Here is an 18060-nt window from a genome sequence, read left to right as displayed (position 1 = left end):
GAGAAGCTGCTTTCAATCCGTATATCCAGGTATTGTGAAACCAGGTGCTGTCTCCTCCCCTCGGTTCACGTTTTGATTTCTAGCAGGAGTTGCTGGAAGGAGGGAGGGGCAGCAGGATGGAGGGGCTGCAGGACACGGTGATGTACGCGTGCATCTCTCTGCTACAGTGCCCAAAACCGAGAACGAGGTGCCCTCGCCAGCCTCCTCTCATCACAGTAGCAACCAGCCGGCCTCGCTGACAGAAGAGAAGCGCACTCCGCAGGGCAGCCAGAACTCGCTGAACACGGTGAGCTCGGGCAGCGGCAGCACCAGCGGCATCGGCAGTGGCGGCGGCGGGGGCAGCGGCGTGGTCAGCACCGTGGTGCAGCCCTACGACGTGGAGATCCGGCGCGGGGAGAACGAGGGCTTCGGCTTCGTCATCGTGTCCTCGGTGAGCAGGCCCGAAGCAGGCACGACCTTTGGTGAGTGCTGAACGTGAAATTACCCAGGGTTTCCCACCATGCCTGGGAGTTTTTGTTCTCTTGCGAGTGAAAGCTGACTCAGACCTCACGTGCAGAAATGCTTTATAGCTTCTTGCTCTGGGTAATTAAAGACTTAATTGGAGATGGAGTTGATTTGGTAGCTTTTTCCCTTTTGAAGGTTGGGAATATTTGTTCAACCCTTTCAACTTCCACACTGAGAATGTGATCACGCATACACAACTTAAAGCATACATCAGATTTGCGTGAAATTTGAATAGCAGCCGGGCGCTGTTGCTCACGCCTGTAATCCCAGCACTTTGGGAGGCCGAGGAGGGTGAATCACTTGAGGTCAGGAGTTTGAGACCAACCTGGCCAACGTGGTGAAACCCTGTCTCTACTAAAAGTACAAAAAGTAGCTGGGCGTGGTAGTGCATGCCTGTAATCCCAGCTACCTGGGAAGCTGAGGCAAGAGAATCGCTTGAACCTGGGAGGTGGAGGTTGCAGTGAGCCGAGATTGTGCCACTGCATTCCAGCCTGGGTGACACAGCGAGACTCTGTCTTAAAAAAAAAAAAAAAAGAAAAGGAAAGGAAAGAAAAGAAATTTGAATAGGAACCCCTGGACAGCATACAGAGTCTACAGTTTTTGCCAAAGCAAGGCTTTCGAAAGGTCTTGAATAGGATAGCACTAATTGCAAGGGCCTCAGAATGGTCTTAAGAATGTCTTAAGAGTTTTTACAAGGAGCATACGGCTGTAAAAATGCTCTAGGAAAAACAGAGGTGTAAGGAGTAAAAATACTACATGAGATGCTAGTCTGCCTCATCTGTGTTCTTTCTCTACTCTATCCCCATAGGAATTTTTTTTAATTTTAAATAATATTTTTACTGTTGCTTGATTTAAAGTCTGGTTAAAATCTGAGTTAAGAGTCATTCGATTTTCCTGTCTCGTCCAGACATTGAGGGTTTCAGCAAAGTATGGAGAAACACAGTTGTCACTTTCTCAGAAGGATTCACTCTCTTCTGGGTACACTAGCAAAGACCAATAGAAACCCAGATGATTGCAGAAACTAGTGATATATGAATCTGCTTCCCATTGCAATGGATTGATTATAGATGTACACTCCAAAAATGATCCACCTTCCTGATTGGGTAAAAAGTCATTTGTTATCTCCCAAGCACATTTGTTACTTACTATGGAATACAATGGGAGAAGGGGAAGGGCTGTGCAGGCTGTGTGGGCTTTTCATGTACCTCAGCTCTATCCCTGAATGACTTATCCACATGGAAACTGGCTAGAATCAGCAAGGTGCTACAACCCTTTAGCATTCTCATCCAGTAGAGCTCACTTGGCCTCCATTTAATCCTGGTGTGTTGCTTCCTGCTGGAGCTGTCTCCCCGTAAGTTTTATGTTTAACAGGGGACAGTGACTCAGCCAGGTCTATGCATGTGTGGCTGCAGTAACAAACGCCTATTACTAACAGTGCTTTTTGAGCTACATTAATAAAGTCATCATAGCATGTCATGGATGGATGACCTGACATCAAAGCAAGGTTTTTTGGTTTTGTTTTAAAATTAATTTCAGAGACTTTCTTGCTTAATATAAAAATAAAGAGAAGGAAGAGGGGAGAAAGAAATCCCAAATTATTTTCTTCAGATCTACAGTTTGACTGTCTCCATGCATCCTGTGACGTTCCTAACTATTTCAGAATTGTCAGTTTCACCTTCTAGAAAGAAATAGCAAATATGTCAAGTGGCAGGTTATGTGTTATATAATGAATATTGTATTCACACTCACAATTTGGTCTTTGATTGTTTTCCTTTGGCTCTTACAACGAACAAATTAAACTTTCCCTAATACCTTGCATGAGGCTTCTGAGCTTTGCTGAGCTTTCCTCAGACCTGCTGTTCGATACCTTTGTTATACCAATTGTCCTTGGAGATCAACTAAACTTAGTCAAGACCTTGAATTTGAGTATGGGAGCATTCCAGCACACCTACCTATTGTATTCTAATAGACTGTTAACTTTTAAAAATTATCTTACCTTGGTGTTCCATTCTGTGATACAAGCTCAGGCAAATCTGCTGAAATTCAAAGGAATTAAAGTGCATTTTCCCACACACTTTACCCTTAAGGTCCAAATCATGACAGAAGAGCCTACTCAGTTAGTTGTAATGTCCCTCATGTTATTTGTCACCCTTTCCAAAAGGTAACTCAACTGCATAACTACCTTCATAGTCCCCAGAAAGACAAATTCTCAAAGTAGGTGAATATGCATAAGAACTTTGAAACTCAATACATGATTAACTAGATTAACCAGAAATCCTATGTCAGGCCTCAAAGCCAGCCACCTCTCTCTAGAAGTTAGCAATGACATGCAGTGCCTCAAAGTGCACGAATAAACCTTTCTCTCCAAATGCACTTTTCTCGGTCTTTGATATGGGTAACTGATGATGAGAAAGGAGATGATTAAAGGAAAAAGGGTGAGGAATGATTTGAACCTAGCTTTGGATCAATGTCCTCAGCCTGAATAGGTACTAGATTTTCGTAGTCCTTTGAGGGGATTTTTGTGAGGCAGCAGAATGATTTCAGAGCTAATGAACCAGTCAGGCCACGCTCTGAAAGCACATAAGACTAGCTGCTTGAGCAAAGGTCCTAAAAGGAAAAATAAGCTTCAAGGTTGGGTGCTTTCTTGGCTCATCTCTTATAATTACACCCTTTTTCTAAAGCTTTCATCATTCTGGGGAGAAGGCAGAAAGTCTGAGTGTTTGTTCATCAGGTGTTTTCAGATTGAATTTTTGGTGCTAGCAGACTCTTATGCCTCACCAGATGCCCAGTGATTATTTTTCTAAACAGAGAAAGAACAAAACATTGGCAGAAGCTTAAACAACAGCTGGCAAAAATGAAGTGACATGAACACAGAATGAGTAAAAGCATCCATCCCAGCCTTGGGTTTCACATTTGCAGTCCCAAAATAAGCGAACAGCCAGTTATTTTGGGGCTCTTAAAAATCTTTGAAGTTGCCAACTATCCCAAATTTTGTAATTGGTTTAAGGAGGAAAGCTGGGGATTCCCCTAATTTTGAATCTGGAAAGGATGGCAGCAATGAATTCTAGTTTCAGGGCAGTAGCTCCTTATACAGACACCCTGAGTATTGCCAATGTTTTGACCATCGGTGCAGAGCTCTCCTTTAATAACATTTGCTTAATGCTTTAATTTATTAACACTTAACCTTCTCTTTCCCTTTTCAACCCTTTTTCTCTTCCCTTTGCTATATTCCCACGTAACTTTAAAAAAATTAAAACTCAATATCAAAGCAGGCAATGCATGTGTGGCTATGCCTCACAAAATAGGTCGGATTATTGAGGGGAGCCCTGCTGACCGCTGTGGCAAGCTGAAAGTAGGAGACCGGATCTTGGCAGTAAATGGATGTTCCATCACCAACAAATCCCATTCAGACATTGTGAACCTAATCAAGGAAGCGGGAAACACAGTTACCCTCCGCATCATTCCTGGGGATGGTAAAGTATACCTATTATCTCTCTCTCTCTCTCTCTTTTTCTCTCTCTCTGTCTCTGTCTTTTCCTTTTCTCTTTCTCTCTCTTTGATTAGTGTTCGTGTAACTGAATAGTATTAATTTAGTGGCAGCTTTATTCATCCCTAACTAAATATACCCATCAGGTAAACGTGAGCCATTGTTACTAACCCATACCTCACCCTCTTGTGTAATTAATCCTGTAGCCCTGTGACCCTGTGTTGCTGCAAATATAAAAGTTTCAGGCCGGGTGCGGTGGCTCACGCCTGTAATCCCAGCACTTTGGGAGGCCGAGGCGGGTGGATCATGAGGTCAGGAGATCGAGACCATCCTGGCTAACACGGTGGAACCCCGTCTGTACTAAAAATACAAAAATTAGCCGGGCGCGGTGGCGGGCGCCTGTAGTCCCAGCTGCTCGGGAGGCTGAGGCAGGAGGATGGTGTGAACCCGGGAGGCGGAGCTTGCAGTGAGCTGAGATCGCACCACTGCACTCCAGCCTGGGCGACAGAGTGAGACTCCATCTCAAAAAAAAAAAAAAAAAAAGTTTCAGAAAAATCTTCACCCTTTCCTCAACTTATTTAGCTTTTTGTGTCCTTGTCTTCAACACTATAAAATAGTTTTAATACAGGTGGTACAGATCCTCTGATATGTATAATATGAGCTGTATTATATGGTGACATGAGAAAACCTGCATGGTGGCAATTCAGAGCCAGTACTATGGTTTTTTAGAATAAGTGAATATATCAAAGTTTTTCATTTAATGGGAGAATCTAAGAGTTTGTGTCTACTGGATTTTCCCTAATTTTTGGATGTGAATGAAGAAAGAATGAAATCTCTATATTTTTGATAAATTGTATCTGCATTAAACTAGGCCTGTCCTTATTTGTTTTTGTGATTAGTTAAATTCAAATCTTTGGTTCTTTTATGTAAGTGGTGATTCTGCCCCCCAGGGAACATTGGCATTGTCTGCAGTGGGTGTGAGTAGCATCTAGTTAGGTCAGACATGCTTCAAAACATCCTACAGAACACAGAACAGCCCTCACAATAAAAAGTTACCCAGCACAAAATACCAATACTCATTGTATTATTCATGTTTAATAAAAATTAAGTTGAGGCTGAATGCGGTGTCTCACGCCTGTAATCCCAGCACTTTGGCAGGCCAAAGCGGGTGGATCACCTGAGGTCAGGAGTTTGAGACCAGCCTGGCCAACATGGTGAAACCCCATCTCTACTAAAAATATAAAAATTAGCTTAGCGTGGTGGCACATGCCTGTAGTCCCAGCTACTTGGGAGGCTGAGGCAGAAGAATCGCTTGAGCCTGGGAGGCGGAGGTTGCAGTGAGCCGAGATTGCGCCACTGCACTCCAGCCTGGGCAACAGGGCGAGACTCATCTCAAAAAAAAAAAAAAAAAAAAAAAGTTAAGTTGATACACTAAGGCCAGGAAGTATAGATCCTTTAGAGAATTAGTTCCTGAATATTCACTTTATTCTAAGCTGACTTTGCTCTTGGGAGGAAGGTGACACTTGTCCCAAAATGTTTAAATGTCTTTTTTCAGTCTTGCTATACATGTTATAAAATATATATTCTAAAAGTGAGTATTTCTCAAGAAAAAATCTAGTTTATGAAGATAGTGTGATAAAAACTCTATGCCATGTATCTATAAAATAAGAAAATTAGGGTTTCATCTGAAAGTTATTTACCAAATGAGTATTTTTATATACTAACTGCTAGAAAGTGAACTTTATAGTTCAAGATTTGAAAGGTATAGCCGGTGCCTTACGGAAAAGGTAAATGCAAAACCAAACAGTAAAAATTTAAAATTGTTGATTCCAAGAACAGAGAACTTTCTCTGCACCAAAAATATCCCACACTAAATGTGGAGGAAAACACTGGCCTCTTGAATGATGATCTACTTGACCCTCCTTCAAATGCATGGTTAGTCACTTACCAACTGGTCTGGAGTTCATTCCACCAATTCACCACTCTGGAAAGCTGTTACAATTTAGGAAAGTGGTCACAAGATGATAGAACATAGGTTCCTAATAGGAAGGATGAAGGAAGCCAGAAAATATAGTGAGAAGTGATTGAGAGAGCCAAATGCGGTCCAGACATCCCCCCTTTCATTGCACTTCATTTTATTGCGCTTTGCAGGTACTTCATTTTGTACAAATTGAAGGTTTGTGGCCACCCTGCTTCGAGCAAGTCTGTCAGTGTCATTTTTCCAACAGCGGGTGCTCACTTTGTGCCTTTGTGTCACATTTTGGTAATTCTCACAATATTTCAAGTTTTATTAGTATTAATTATTATTATATCTGCTGTGATGACCTGTGATCTCTGATGTTACTGTTGTAATTGTTTGGGGGTGCCACAAACCATACCCACATAAGATGACAAACAATAAATGTCATATGTGTTCTGACTGCTCCACTGACTGGCCATTCCCCATCTCTGTTCCTTTCCTCGGGCCTCCCTTTTCCAAGATAAAGCAGTATTGAAATTAGGACAATAAATAACCTTACAATGGCCTCTAACTCTTCATATGAAAGGAAGAGTCACACATCTCTCACTTTAAATCAAAAGCTAGAAATGATTAAGCATAGTGAGGGAAGGCATGTCAAAAGCTGAGATAGGCCAAAAGCTAGATCCCTCATGCTAAACATTTATCCAAGTTGTGAATGCAGAGGAAAATTTCTTAAAGGAAATTAAAAGTGCCACTCCAGAGAACACATGGATTTTAAGAAAGCGAAACAGCCTTATTGCTGATATGGAGAAAGTGTGAGTGGTCTGGATAGAAAATCAAACCAGCCACAACATTCCCTTATGCCAGAGTCCAATCCAGAGCAAGTTCCTAACTCCTCAATTCAGTAAAGGCTGAGAGAGGGGAGAAAGCTAGAGAAGATACTTTGAAGCTAGCAGAGGTTGGTGCATGAGATTTAAAGAAATAAACCATCTCCGTAACATAAAAGTATAAGGGGAAGCAGCAAGTGCAAATATAAAACTGCAGCTAGTTTTCCAGCGGATTTAATTATTAAGATCATGGATGAAGGTGGCTACACAAAATGACAGATTTTCAGTGTAGACAAAACAGTCTTCTATTGAAAGAAGATGGTCATTTAAGACTTTCCTAGCTAGAGAGGAGACATCAATGCCTAGTTTCAAAGCTTCAAAGGACTGGCTGACTCTCTTGTTAGGGGCTAATGCAGCTGATGACCTTAAGCTGAAGCCAGTGCTCATCTGGCTATTCTGAAAATCCTAGAACCTTTCAGAATGATGCTAAATGTACTCTGCCTGTGCTCTAGAAATGGAACAACAAAGCCTGGATGACAGCACATATGTTGTGCTGTGGTTTATTGAGTATTTTAAGCCCACTGTTGAGACCTACTGCTTAGGGGAAAAAAATTTCTTTCAAATATTACTGCTCATGGACAATACACCTGGTCACCCAAGAGTTCTAATGGAAATGTACAAGGAAATGAATGTTGTTCTCATGCCTGCTAACACAGCATCCATTCTGCAACTCGTGGATCAAGAAGTCATTTTGACTTTTAAGTCTTACTATTTAAGAAATGTATTTTGTAAGGCTATACCTGCCATAGATAGTGATGGCTCTAATGGATTTGGAAAATCCATTTGGAAAGATTTGGAAAATCTTCTGGAAAAAAATTCACCCTTCTAGATGCCATTAAGAACATTTATGATTCATGGGAGACATGTTGACCTTAACAAGATTTTAGAAGAGGTTGATTCCAACCTTCATGGATGACTTTGAGGGGTTTCGAGACTTCAGTGGAGGAAGAAGCTGCAGAAGTTCCTTTGTGGTGGAAATAGCAAGAGAAGTAGAATTGGAAGTGGAGCCGGAAGATGTGACTTAATTGCCGTAATCTCATGATAAAACTTGAACAGATGAGGAGTTGCTTCTTATGGATGAACAAAGAAAATGGTTTCTTGAGATGGAATCTACTGGTAAAGATGTTGCAAACTTTGTTGAAATGACAACAAAGGGTTTTGATTATTAAATCAACTTAAGTTAATAAAGCAGTGGCAGAGTCTGAGAGGATTGACTCCAATTTCAAAAAAAGTTCTACTTAGGGTAAAATGCTATCAAACAGCAACATGCTGCAGAGAAATCTTTCATTGAAGGAAGAGCAAACTTCATTGTTGTCTTATTTTAAGAGGTTGCCACAGCCACCCAACCTTCAGCAACCACCACCCTGATCAGTCAGCAGGCATCAACATCAAGGCAAGACCCTCCATCAGCAAAAAAAGATTACAACTCACTGAAGGCTCAGGTGATCATTATTTAGCAATAAAGTATTTTAAAATTAAGGTATGTAGTGTTTTTAAACATAATGCCATTGCACACTTAATAGACTATAGTATAGTGTGAACATGAATTTTATATGCACTGGGAAGCCAAAGAATTTGCATGACTCACTTTACTGGAATACCTGCTTTTTTATTGCCATGATCTGGAACTGAACCCGTGATATCTCCGAGGTATGCTTTGTGTATGGATTTAGACACGTTTATCAACATGTCATGGAAAGATATCAAACAGACTAACCCAAAAGAACAGGACGCAGGGATTGACTTGCTGGGTTTATAATTGGTCAATCTTATTGTGGGAATGAGAACATCCAAAAGAAGGAAAGAAAGTACTCCCTGAGTGAAGAGCTTAGAAAAAGAGTTTGAAGTCAGTAAAGACATAAATACTCAGAAGCGACTTATTCTGCAGTGTAGATAGTAGATGTTGACTTAATTTAATAAAATACACAGCTGGGTGCAGTGGCACACGCCTGTAATCCCAGCACTTGTGGAGACTGAGGCAGGAGGATCACTTGAGCTCAGGAGTTCCAGGCCAGCCTGGGCAACATAGCGAGACGTCGTCTCTGCTAAAAATTCAAAACAATTAGCTAGGAGAGGTGGCTTGCACCCGTAGTCCAACTATTTGGGGCAACGGGCAGGATACGCTGGCGGGAGGATGGCTGGAGCCCAGGAGGTTGAGGTCGAGCTTCAGTGAGCCCTGATCATGCCACTGCACTCCAGCCTGGATGACAGACTGAGACCATGTCTCAGAACAAACAAAATAAAATACCCTGGAAAAAAAACTTTTAAGCCTGAACACCAAAAATTATCATGCAAGGTGGATTATCCAATAACAGTTGGCATTATAAAGGCAATTTTAAAATTTAAATATGTAGGAAATATAAAATTCACATAGACACCTTGTGCTACCTTGGTTAGAAACAAGTAAACATAAAACTGGTACAACATAGTTGAGGATTGATATTTTTTAAGGCAATACATGTTCTGCTGAGCATGTGATTTCATCCAAGATGTTTCAGGAATTTGGTTGATATGATAATAAGCCTCTTCTCTAGTTACTTTGTAAGTGCCAGAAGCCCGGTAAAGGGAATCAAGTCTGGCAGAGGGTGAATATGTGATGCTCAATTTTTTTTTTTTGAGACGGAGTCTCGCTGTGTCACCCAGGCTAGAGTGCAGTGGCATGATCTCGGCTCACTGCAAGCTCTGCCTCCCGGGTTCATGGTGATGCTCCTATTTTAAGTGGGTCTGAGAAACAGCATTTTGGAAATTAGAGTTGAAGCAGGGGAGTTAGATTTCTCAAAAGATGTGGGAGATCCAGGAGGATTTTGCAAACCCCCAGAAGACAAAGAGTGAGCATTACAGTTCAGTGAAGAGATAATCACACTGGATCCACTTCCTTTCTGTGAAAGCGTGTTGGACATAGTTGATTCCAAGGTAAAATGGAGGTGCCTATGCCTCAGGTCTCTTTCAGATTTTTTACTCGAATATTTACTTCATCAAGTGGCCCAAAAACCATTTGTTTCATGATATCTACAAGGAGACTGAAGGTCTTAACTCAGAGTGGTTTCTAAGCTCTTAGAAATCCATCACGTCTGGGGCCGGGCATGGTAGCTCATGCCTGTAATCCCAGCACGTTGGGTGGCCAAGGTGGGCAGAATGCCTGAGCTCAGGAGTTCAAGACCAGCCCAGGCAACATGGCGAAACGCTGTCTCTACTAAAATACAAAAAATTAGCCAGGCATGGTGGCGCGTGCCTGTAGTCCCAGCTACTTGGGAGGCTGAGGCACAAGAATTGCTTGAAACCAGGAGGCGGAGGTTGCTATGAGTCAAGATCATACCACTGCACTCCAGGCTGGGAGACAGTGAGACTGTGTCTCCAGAAAAAAAAAAAAAGAATCCATCACGTCTGGGACACTGTTCTCGAAACCCCAGCAGGCCCTTTGAAAAGATGCTCTGCCCTTTGTGCAGTGCGTGAGTCTACTCTGAGTCCATTTCCATGTCTAGTTCATGCTATCTAATTCTTTGCTCTTGTCATCGGTAGCCTTATTCTTTCTGCAGTTTCACTCATCTCAGTCTTTAGTTTCCCTCACTCTGCTTCCCACATTTTTCTCTGACTTTTCCAACAAAACCTCCAAAACGTGATTCCTCTTTCCTTGGCATTATTGTATGTTAGAAGGTCTGGCAGGAGTGTTTTCACAGCCTTGGTCAGGCCAAGGTTGGGGGAGTCCTTACCTTCATTGCTTTGATTCTCTTTGGGACCAGGGTGGACAATGGGGGAGGGCAGAACCTTCTCTCCTGTGAGATATGGGCAAGGGATGAATGAATAAATACACAATGGCAGCACAGAAGGGCCCAGAGAATAGCTGAACTTACTGAATCTGAACTTGAAATCTAAGAAGTCAAACAACATTTGCATTGTATGGAGATGCCCCATGGAGTGGGAGAGAGACTTTAATCAGACAAGGACAGAAGCTCCCTGAGCCAGGTAACATGGAACCATCAGATTGAATCAAGTTCAATATAATGAAAATCTTTAGAAGCTTAAAAATGCTTTATTTGAATAATGGTCCTAAATTTGCACTTCAGATCACTCTGATTCAAAGTATTTGCTTATGTAGGAGGTAGAGCTTGGCAACATATAGATATTGCTGTTTCCTTGGCAAAGGCATTAGAATAGTAAAAAGTCCCCCAAAACTTTTCAAATATTTATGGGATTCAAATTTCCCCATGCCGCCCTTAGATATTTATTACATACGTGTTTATCCAGTAAAATATTTACAACAGGAATAATTGTATCCTTTGTTGATTTGCTTGGCTTTCAATGTGGATTCCGTAAGGGGAGGCTGAGGATATTAATATGGGAACAAGGTTAGAATTGTAATTGCTTGTCACAGATAGATAGGTTGAAACCCAAGATGGAAGCTGCTGTTGGAAGAGTAAGTGCCGAGATTTGGAATAGTCCCTGGACAGGGCTGTGAGAGCTGGGATTTGCTTCTCTTGATACATGACTGCTATTGAAAGTGTAGTAATCTCCATTTTCACTCCTCTGGGAGAGCTAAAGTAGGTATAAACACTGTTTAATAAAGGATGTTGGGTACTTTCTGGAATTTGTCATAAAGTACCTAATCTGTCCATGTGCCTTGCAGTTTTAAAAGTCAAATACATTGACACCTCTTTCTAATACTGTTTCTGGAGGGCAGGGAGACTCATACTCTTGTTTCAGGCCCTTCTTTTATATTTTTTCCACCGTAAGTAGTCAATTTTGCTTTGGGATAAAGCTCTTTTTTATAATGGGCTCATCTTTATATTTTAAAGCGCTAGAGAGCATTTCAGCAAATACAATCCTGGTTTAATTCCAAATGAAGAAGTAAAAGTTCATTAAAACAAGCATAACTTTATTGATAGTATAAAAACATCCTGGAAATCTAGGGTATACCTAAAATTATTTTGGTGCTGCTCTGAGGATGGCTTATAAAATCTAGCCATCAAAGCAGGGTGTTTCATATTTTAATTCATCTCTGATACTGCTTGGTGAGGTTGGTAGTATTTATACAGTAAAATAAAATTATTTCTTTTTTGAAAGGAATGTTCCAATTAGATATGATTTCCTCAATACCAACACATGATTCCTACGTAAACCAAAAACTAAAAGTTCACTGTCAGGCAGGTCCTGGGTTTAATTCCCAGTATCTCCACCTGCTGCCTGAGTGACCTTAGACATATTACCTACATTTTCTACACCCCAGTGTCTTCATTTGTAAACTGGGGCCATAATTGCACCTATTTTATTGAGTGGTGAGAGTCAAATGAAGTATGTGGTAATGGACTTAGCACAGTGCTTGGCACGTTTAAACCATCCTTAAATGGTGGTGCTTCATAGATTAAGATAAACAACAAATGAGGAAAATTCAGCAAGGTCAAATCGACATTTCCATGCTAAATGTTAATTTTACTATGCTTAAAATTAAGCTTCAACCCAAAAAAGAGTTTCACAGACATACAGATGAGGAAAAAAAATAGCAAATAAAGGATGGGAATAAAAATAATAAAGGAATTCTGTGTATTGGGTGATTATCTCATCAAATTATGAAAGCAGCAGAAAAATAAAAATAATTTGAGAATGGAATCTGATCTGCTCAGAAAACTCTGGCTACCAACAACACACAAGAACTGTAAAGAGGAACCTCTGTACAATTCAATCATTATAATCACTTTGATTACAAGGAGACATTCTTTTTAGTATCCTGATTGTGATTTCCCCATGGCCTGAACAACCTGGTGATTTCTGAGAGTCTCCATAAAATTAATTGCAATGAGCAATATGAAGTTTGCTAAAGGACCAATACACGTGTTTATGAAAGTTCTGGAGAGTCACAGCGATGGGCTATACAGCTTGTTTGTCCTATTTAGTGACACAGTGAGCGTACTTTATAAAATATCACTGATTCATCACCTTGGTTCTGCTGGTTAACTGCCCTCAAATGGGAGTCATATGAAGGAGCTAGTTTTCCTCCAAAAGCTCTGAAAATAATTTGCTGTTAAAATAGCGTCATTAAAATATACGAACAATATGCTTTTAACATTATGATGACAATAATAAACACATGGTACCAAAAATATGCTAATCACTTCTGAGCAGTTTTTGTGTGCCAGGCAGTATTCCAAACAATCTTCTTGGATCATCTTTGCCCCAATTTCCTTAGATAATTCTCTTATTCCCAATGTGCACACGAGAAAACTGAGGCACTGAGAATTTAAGTAACTTTGCTTAAGTCCCATCCAGGAAATTGAAGAGCATAGAATGCAAAGTCAGATAAGACAGTCTGACTCCAGAATCTGACCTAGTCACCATTGTGCTAAACTGTCTCCCAGTAAGCCTGAGAAACACCACCTCCCCAGCTTGGACGGTCACAGGCATATTGGTGTAGTAAAGACTCAGAGGAGTGCATAGGAAATGATTGGTAAAACAGATTTTGGGAAACATTGTCCCAAAACATGAATGGGATTCACCTAACAATTCACTTGATTTAGTTATTTTCTTCTTACTCTTGTGCCTTAGCTAGAAGAATAATGGGCTTTTATGGCTGCAGTAAATTAACTGTTGAAATCATATTTCGACTTTCTCATTTTGCAGAGAGCTTAAATAACTTATACAAGGTCTCATAGTAATAAAAAGTAGTAGCTGTAATAAATGTGTATTGAGTGCTTATTGTATGTCAGGCACAGAGCTTAAACATTGCATATACTTTTATCCATGAGAGGGGAATTATTGTCATCACCCCATTTTAACAGATGAGAAAAATAAGGCACACAGCTAATGAGTAGGAAAAAAAGGTGATTTGATCCCAGGTCTGAATCTCAAGCCCATGCTTTTAACCACTATGTGTCATGAAAATAAAATAACAGGAAGCCGGACCAAAGCTGAGTAAGATCCTTGGGAAATGTAAATGGAAGATAGACCACAGGTAGTTGGGATTTGTGGGATGTCTTTTGTTCCAGGACTCCAGTGGAAAGATATATATTATAGGTATCTCAGTTTGGAATAGTTAACATATTTTCCCATATAATAGTTAAATGTGATGGGAAGATACATGTATTCAGTAAACACGAAAGTGCCTACTATAAGCCATAGGTCTCCTGGTAACTTCTAGATTTGATGGTGCACTGAATTAAATGGGCATGCACAGGTGAATCTTATAATGGAACCTAACACCACATTTAGCATTTTCTTTGTTAGAAAATGTATGACGAGTTTCAGTCAACCTACAATTAAATATTAAAAATACAACTTGCTCATAGTTGGTTGCTACTTGCCTTGGTCTTAATGAAGAAATTATTAGTAAAGAACATATAGCTATTACTATAGGACTTTTCATGAGTGATACCAAACAAGATCTGTCAGGAGTTCCATATTTTCAGTTGTGCTTTATTAAAAGCAGTGGGAAAGAAAGTGGATATTATATGTGTGTTTAACAAGTTGTTAGTACACTTCTGATATTAATATTCAGTTGAGGAAATTAAGCCGACTCACTAAATATTGCTGATAAATTGCAGGAAACATTGGTAGAGACATTAATTATCAGACTTTAAAGTTCTGGAAGAGAATTCTGCTGTGGTGCAGCACTTTGATGGGACTGCCTTTTTTCAGTGGCAGGGGAGGAGTGAGAAACATATACCTTGGCTAGAATTTTAGAGCAGTGTTTTCTTTGGCAAACTCTGTTTTATTTGTGGAGATGTCTGTTTGGGAGGAGGGTCATGGGGACATACATGACCCACATCAGAGAAGATCTTAAAATGGTTTATTAAACTCCTAATTGTCTAGAAATTCAAGTCAGACTGCTTGAAATGGGGACAGAGAAGTCACACTTGTTATTCAGATACAGGGCTTCTGCACACCTCCTGGCTGGAGGATGTCTTCTCTGGGGTCTTCATTTCTTTATGCTCTGTCCCTCTTTGCAGAGTCCTCGAATGCCACCTTGCTGACCAATGCAGAGAAGATTGCCACCATCACCACCACACACACCCCTTCTCAGCAAGGGACCCAGGAGACAAGGTCAGACATGACTGGTTTCCTTTGTTAAAGGGGAAAAAAGTAACTCCCAGCATGACAATATATGTCCTTGATTCTTTCTCAGTTTGCTAATGGGTTGCTCTTATATTTATTTCTTTCACTTTGGCAGGAATACCACCAAACCAAAGCAGGAATCTCAATTTGAGTTCAAAGCACCCCAAGCAACACAGGTGAGCACCATGTCTCTTTTTTCTCTATACTTTGCACGTTTCCTTCCAACTTTCTCAAGCTACTTTTATGGGATATTTTTTGAAGCACCTTTAATTTAAAAGAAATAACCTTTTGTGAGGTGATTTACCAAACGTATACTTACATTTGATTGTCTAGGAAATAACATGTTATTTTACTACCTTAAAATATTCCTAGATAGCCTTTTCTAGGGGAAAAAAAATGAAAAGCAGTAATTGTCACAAGGATCGGCAGTTAGAGAAAGCAAAGCAACCAATATCTACTCATAGTATTCATAAACATGCTTCTGCCAAGAAAATGTCTTTGTGATAAGGTGTTTTTCAGGCTTGAGAATTTAAGGTGAGATCCATAGAGCAAAATGCCTGTCCTCAGGATGGCGAGGGAGAGTGTGAAAATACTAGCAGGTGAAACAAATTTGAGGAACTTTGGGTGATGCAAAATTAAACAGATTCCTTTTTTTTTTTTTTTTTTTTTTTTTTTAAGAGACAGGGGTCTCACTGTGCTGCCCAGACTGGACTGAAACTCCTGGGCTCAAGCAATCATCCTGTCTCAGCCTCCTGAGTAGCTGGTATTACAAGTCCCCAGCTGGGTTCTTTCTTTACTGGTTGCCTGGGGGCTTTCAGTTATCCCTTCATAATTTTCCTTGATCAGGATTTGGAGAGGTTTTGTTGGTATCCTCATGATGGGCACAGCCAGCATTTATTGGACACAGGTCAGGGAGGCTGGGCATCCAGCAGCCAGGTGGCTGGTATCATGTAATGAGGAATTGTCCTTCCCCAAATGCAAATCACAGCCTCACTGATTAAATTTTAATCCACATGTTATAATAAATACACAGATGCATATAGACATGCTCATAACTGTTTTCAAATTCTGGATCTGTGACTTCTGAGATTAATGAGGATGAATCAAGATTATTAATAAACAAGAGTCACCAAGAGGGGGATAGAGATTGTGCCTTTTTGCCAAGAATGTTTAGGAAGAGTCCTATGGATATTAGTTCTCCTAGAATGATTGCATTTAATTTCTTTAAATAGGAGCAAGATTTTTACACTGTGGAACTGGAAAGAGGAGCCAAGGGATTTGGCTTTAGCCTTCGAGGAGGCCGAGAGTATAACATGGACCTCTATGTTCTGCGCTTAGCAGAGGACGGTCCTGCGGAGAGGTGTGGAAAGATGAGGGTAAGTGGAGAGAGGAGTCTGGGGTAGGTGCAAAGAAACCATCTGCAGTGAATTCTTGTCATATATGGTTAGAATGTTCATGTTCATAAGAACTACATTTTCTATAGCTTTCATGATTCTCTTAAGTGCATGACTCCTACCCTACCAAATATTTCTGCCTAAAGCACAATTAATTATAGCTGCTAAAGTTAGGTGAACACTTCCAACTCTTTGGGGTTGATATAGGGAATAAAGGATTTAAATTACTTTCAAATATATTAAAGTAGATATTTTTCAGAGCCCATTTCTATAGTTTTTGTGCTTAATGTCATGGGGCAGGCACATCACTTGACAGGAATTCTGGGGTACCCTGGGATGCTTAGAAAGCAGGAAAGCCATATGGCCCTGTAGATTCTGGGCAGTGAGGTCTACTTATCCTCTAGCTGGTTACCAGTGGTCTTACCTTAGGCTCAGAGACAGCAAGTCTACTCTCTGCCTTAGCAAAGAGCCAGGGCTCTGTGGCATGAATATTCAGAGTTGCTCTGTAGTAAGAGCTACAGATTTTTAATACATAAATGCCAAAAGTCCACTCTGCTCTGTTTCGCTAATATCTGTTACTGTAGATGAATGTGCTGTTCTCCTGGGCAGATTAGATGATTAAGAAAACATAAATCATCTACCCATAGATAGGTCACATAGATTGGGAATTGCCCATGGAGAGCCATTTACAACAAATTAAAAGAAATCAAGACAGTCAGGCCAGGAAAGGAAAAAAGTGAATGCAGTTGGGCCTGAGCAGAAAAAGGGAAAAACTGATTAAGGGTGAGGATCGTAACACTTGCACTTAAGCCACAATCTTGATGTTTAAGTTTGTTCAGCATGAATTTTTTAACATTTAAAATTGAGAAGGTAGAGCATTGAATGTGTTTTAAGAAAATTAAACAGTGAAAAATGTAGTAAAAATACAGTGTCCAGGGCCAAACAGTATACCAGTTTCTCTCATATTCTTTTCTTTTGCATGTATATATTCAAGGGGAGATACATGGTGGTACATATTTTTTTTGTTTGAAATTTCAGATATAAGGAATTTATTTTCCCTTGCCTTTTAATCACTTTAAAAAGTTAATTACTTTAAATTACTTTACTTTAAATTACTTTAAAAATTTAATCTCTTTAAAAAGTTAATCAAATGAAATATTATTATGCTACTTTGTATAATGGTGTATAGTTTACATGACAGGTTTACATGTATTACCTGATTTGATGCCAGCAGCTTGGTAGGTGTGAGTGGTATTATCAGCCTCTTCTATAAGTAAGAAAGTAGACTCCAGGAAGTTAAAGTACTGGGAGCAAATCAGTTACCAAATGATAGGATTCAAATTAAAGACTGTAGACTTGAAAGCCAGTGCCATTCCTCCTCTTTTTAGAATATAAGCTCTATTTGAGTGGGGATCTGCCTCGTCTTATTTATTCTTTTATTTCCAGTGTCTAAAATAGTGGCTGACACAAAGTGAATGCTGCATTCAATACATCAGTCAGGATTATGGTCTCATCTGAAGTCTCACCTGGGGAAGGGTTTGCTTTTTAAGCTCACTCACGTGGTTGTTACCAGGATTCAGTGCCTTATAGGGCAGTCCCTCATTTCATTATCATGGGACTCCAGAGGATAGCTCATAACATGCATCAGGGCAAACAAGTGAGAGAAGAAAAGAGGGCAAGTAAGACAGATGACAAAATCGTTTTATGACCTGATCTTTGAACTGATATCATGTTTGCCATATTCTGTTTATTAGAAGCAAGTCACTTGACGTAGCTCACATTCAA

At 40.2% G+C, this 18060-nt stretch overlaps 1 protein-coding gene across 6 annotated transcripts in view; it reads left to right on the top strand.

The window, feature by feature from the left end:
• The window catches only part of MAGI1 (membrane associated guanylate kinase, WW and PDZ domain containing 1), a 685393-nt gene that overhangs the window by 659197 nt on the left and 8136 nt on the right, over positions 1-18060 (top strand). For 3 of the 6 annotated variants that reach the window (NM_001033057.2, NM_015520.2, NM_001365904.2), the window contains 5 exons: positions 168-461; positions 3777-3977; positions 14776-14869; positions 14997-15057; positions 16114-16257. In NM_001033057.2, the coding sequence (NP_001028229.1) occupies positions 168-461; positions 3777-3977; positions 14776-14869; positions 14997-15057; positions 16114-16257 (794 nt within the window). Of the gene's footprint in view, positions 1-167; positions 462-3773; positions 3978-14775; positions 14870-14996; positions 15058-16113; positions 16258-18060 lie in introns of all 6 variants that reach the window. The other 3 variants (NM_001365903.2, NM_004742.3, NM_001365905.1) reach the window with 1 other exon arrangement.

The sequence above is a fragment of the Homo sapiens genome, chromosome 3, assembly GCF_000001405.40.
Source record: "Homo sapiens chromosome 3, GRCh38.p14 Primary Assembly".
Lineage (NCBI taxonomy): Eukaryota > Metazoa > Chordata > Mammalia > Primates > Hominidae > Homo > Homo sapiens.
The sequence above is the reverse complement of the archived record's forward strand: the minus strand, read 5'-3'. Positions and strand labels throughout refer to the sequence as shown.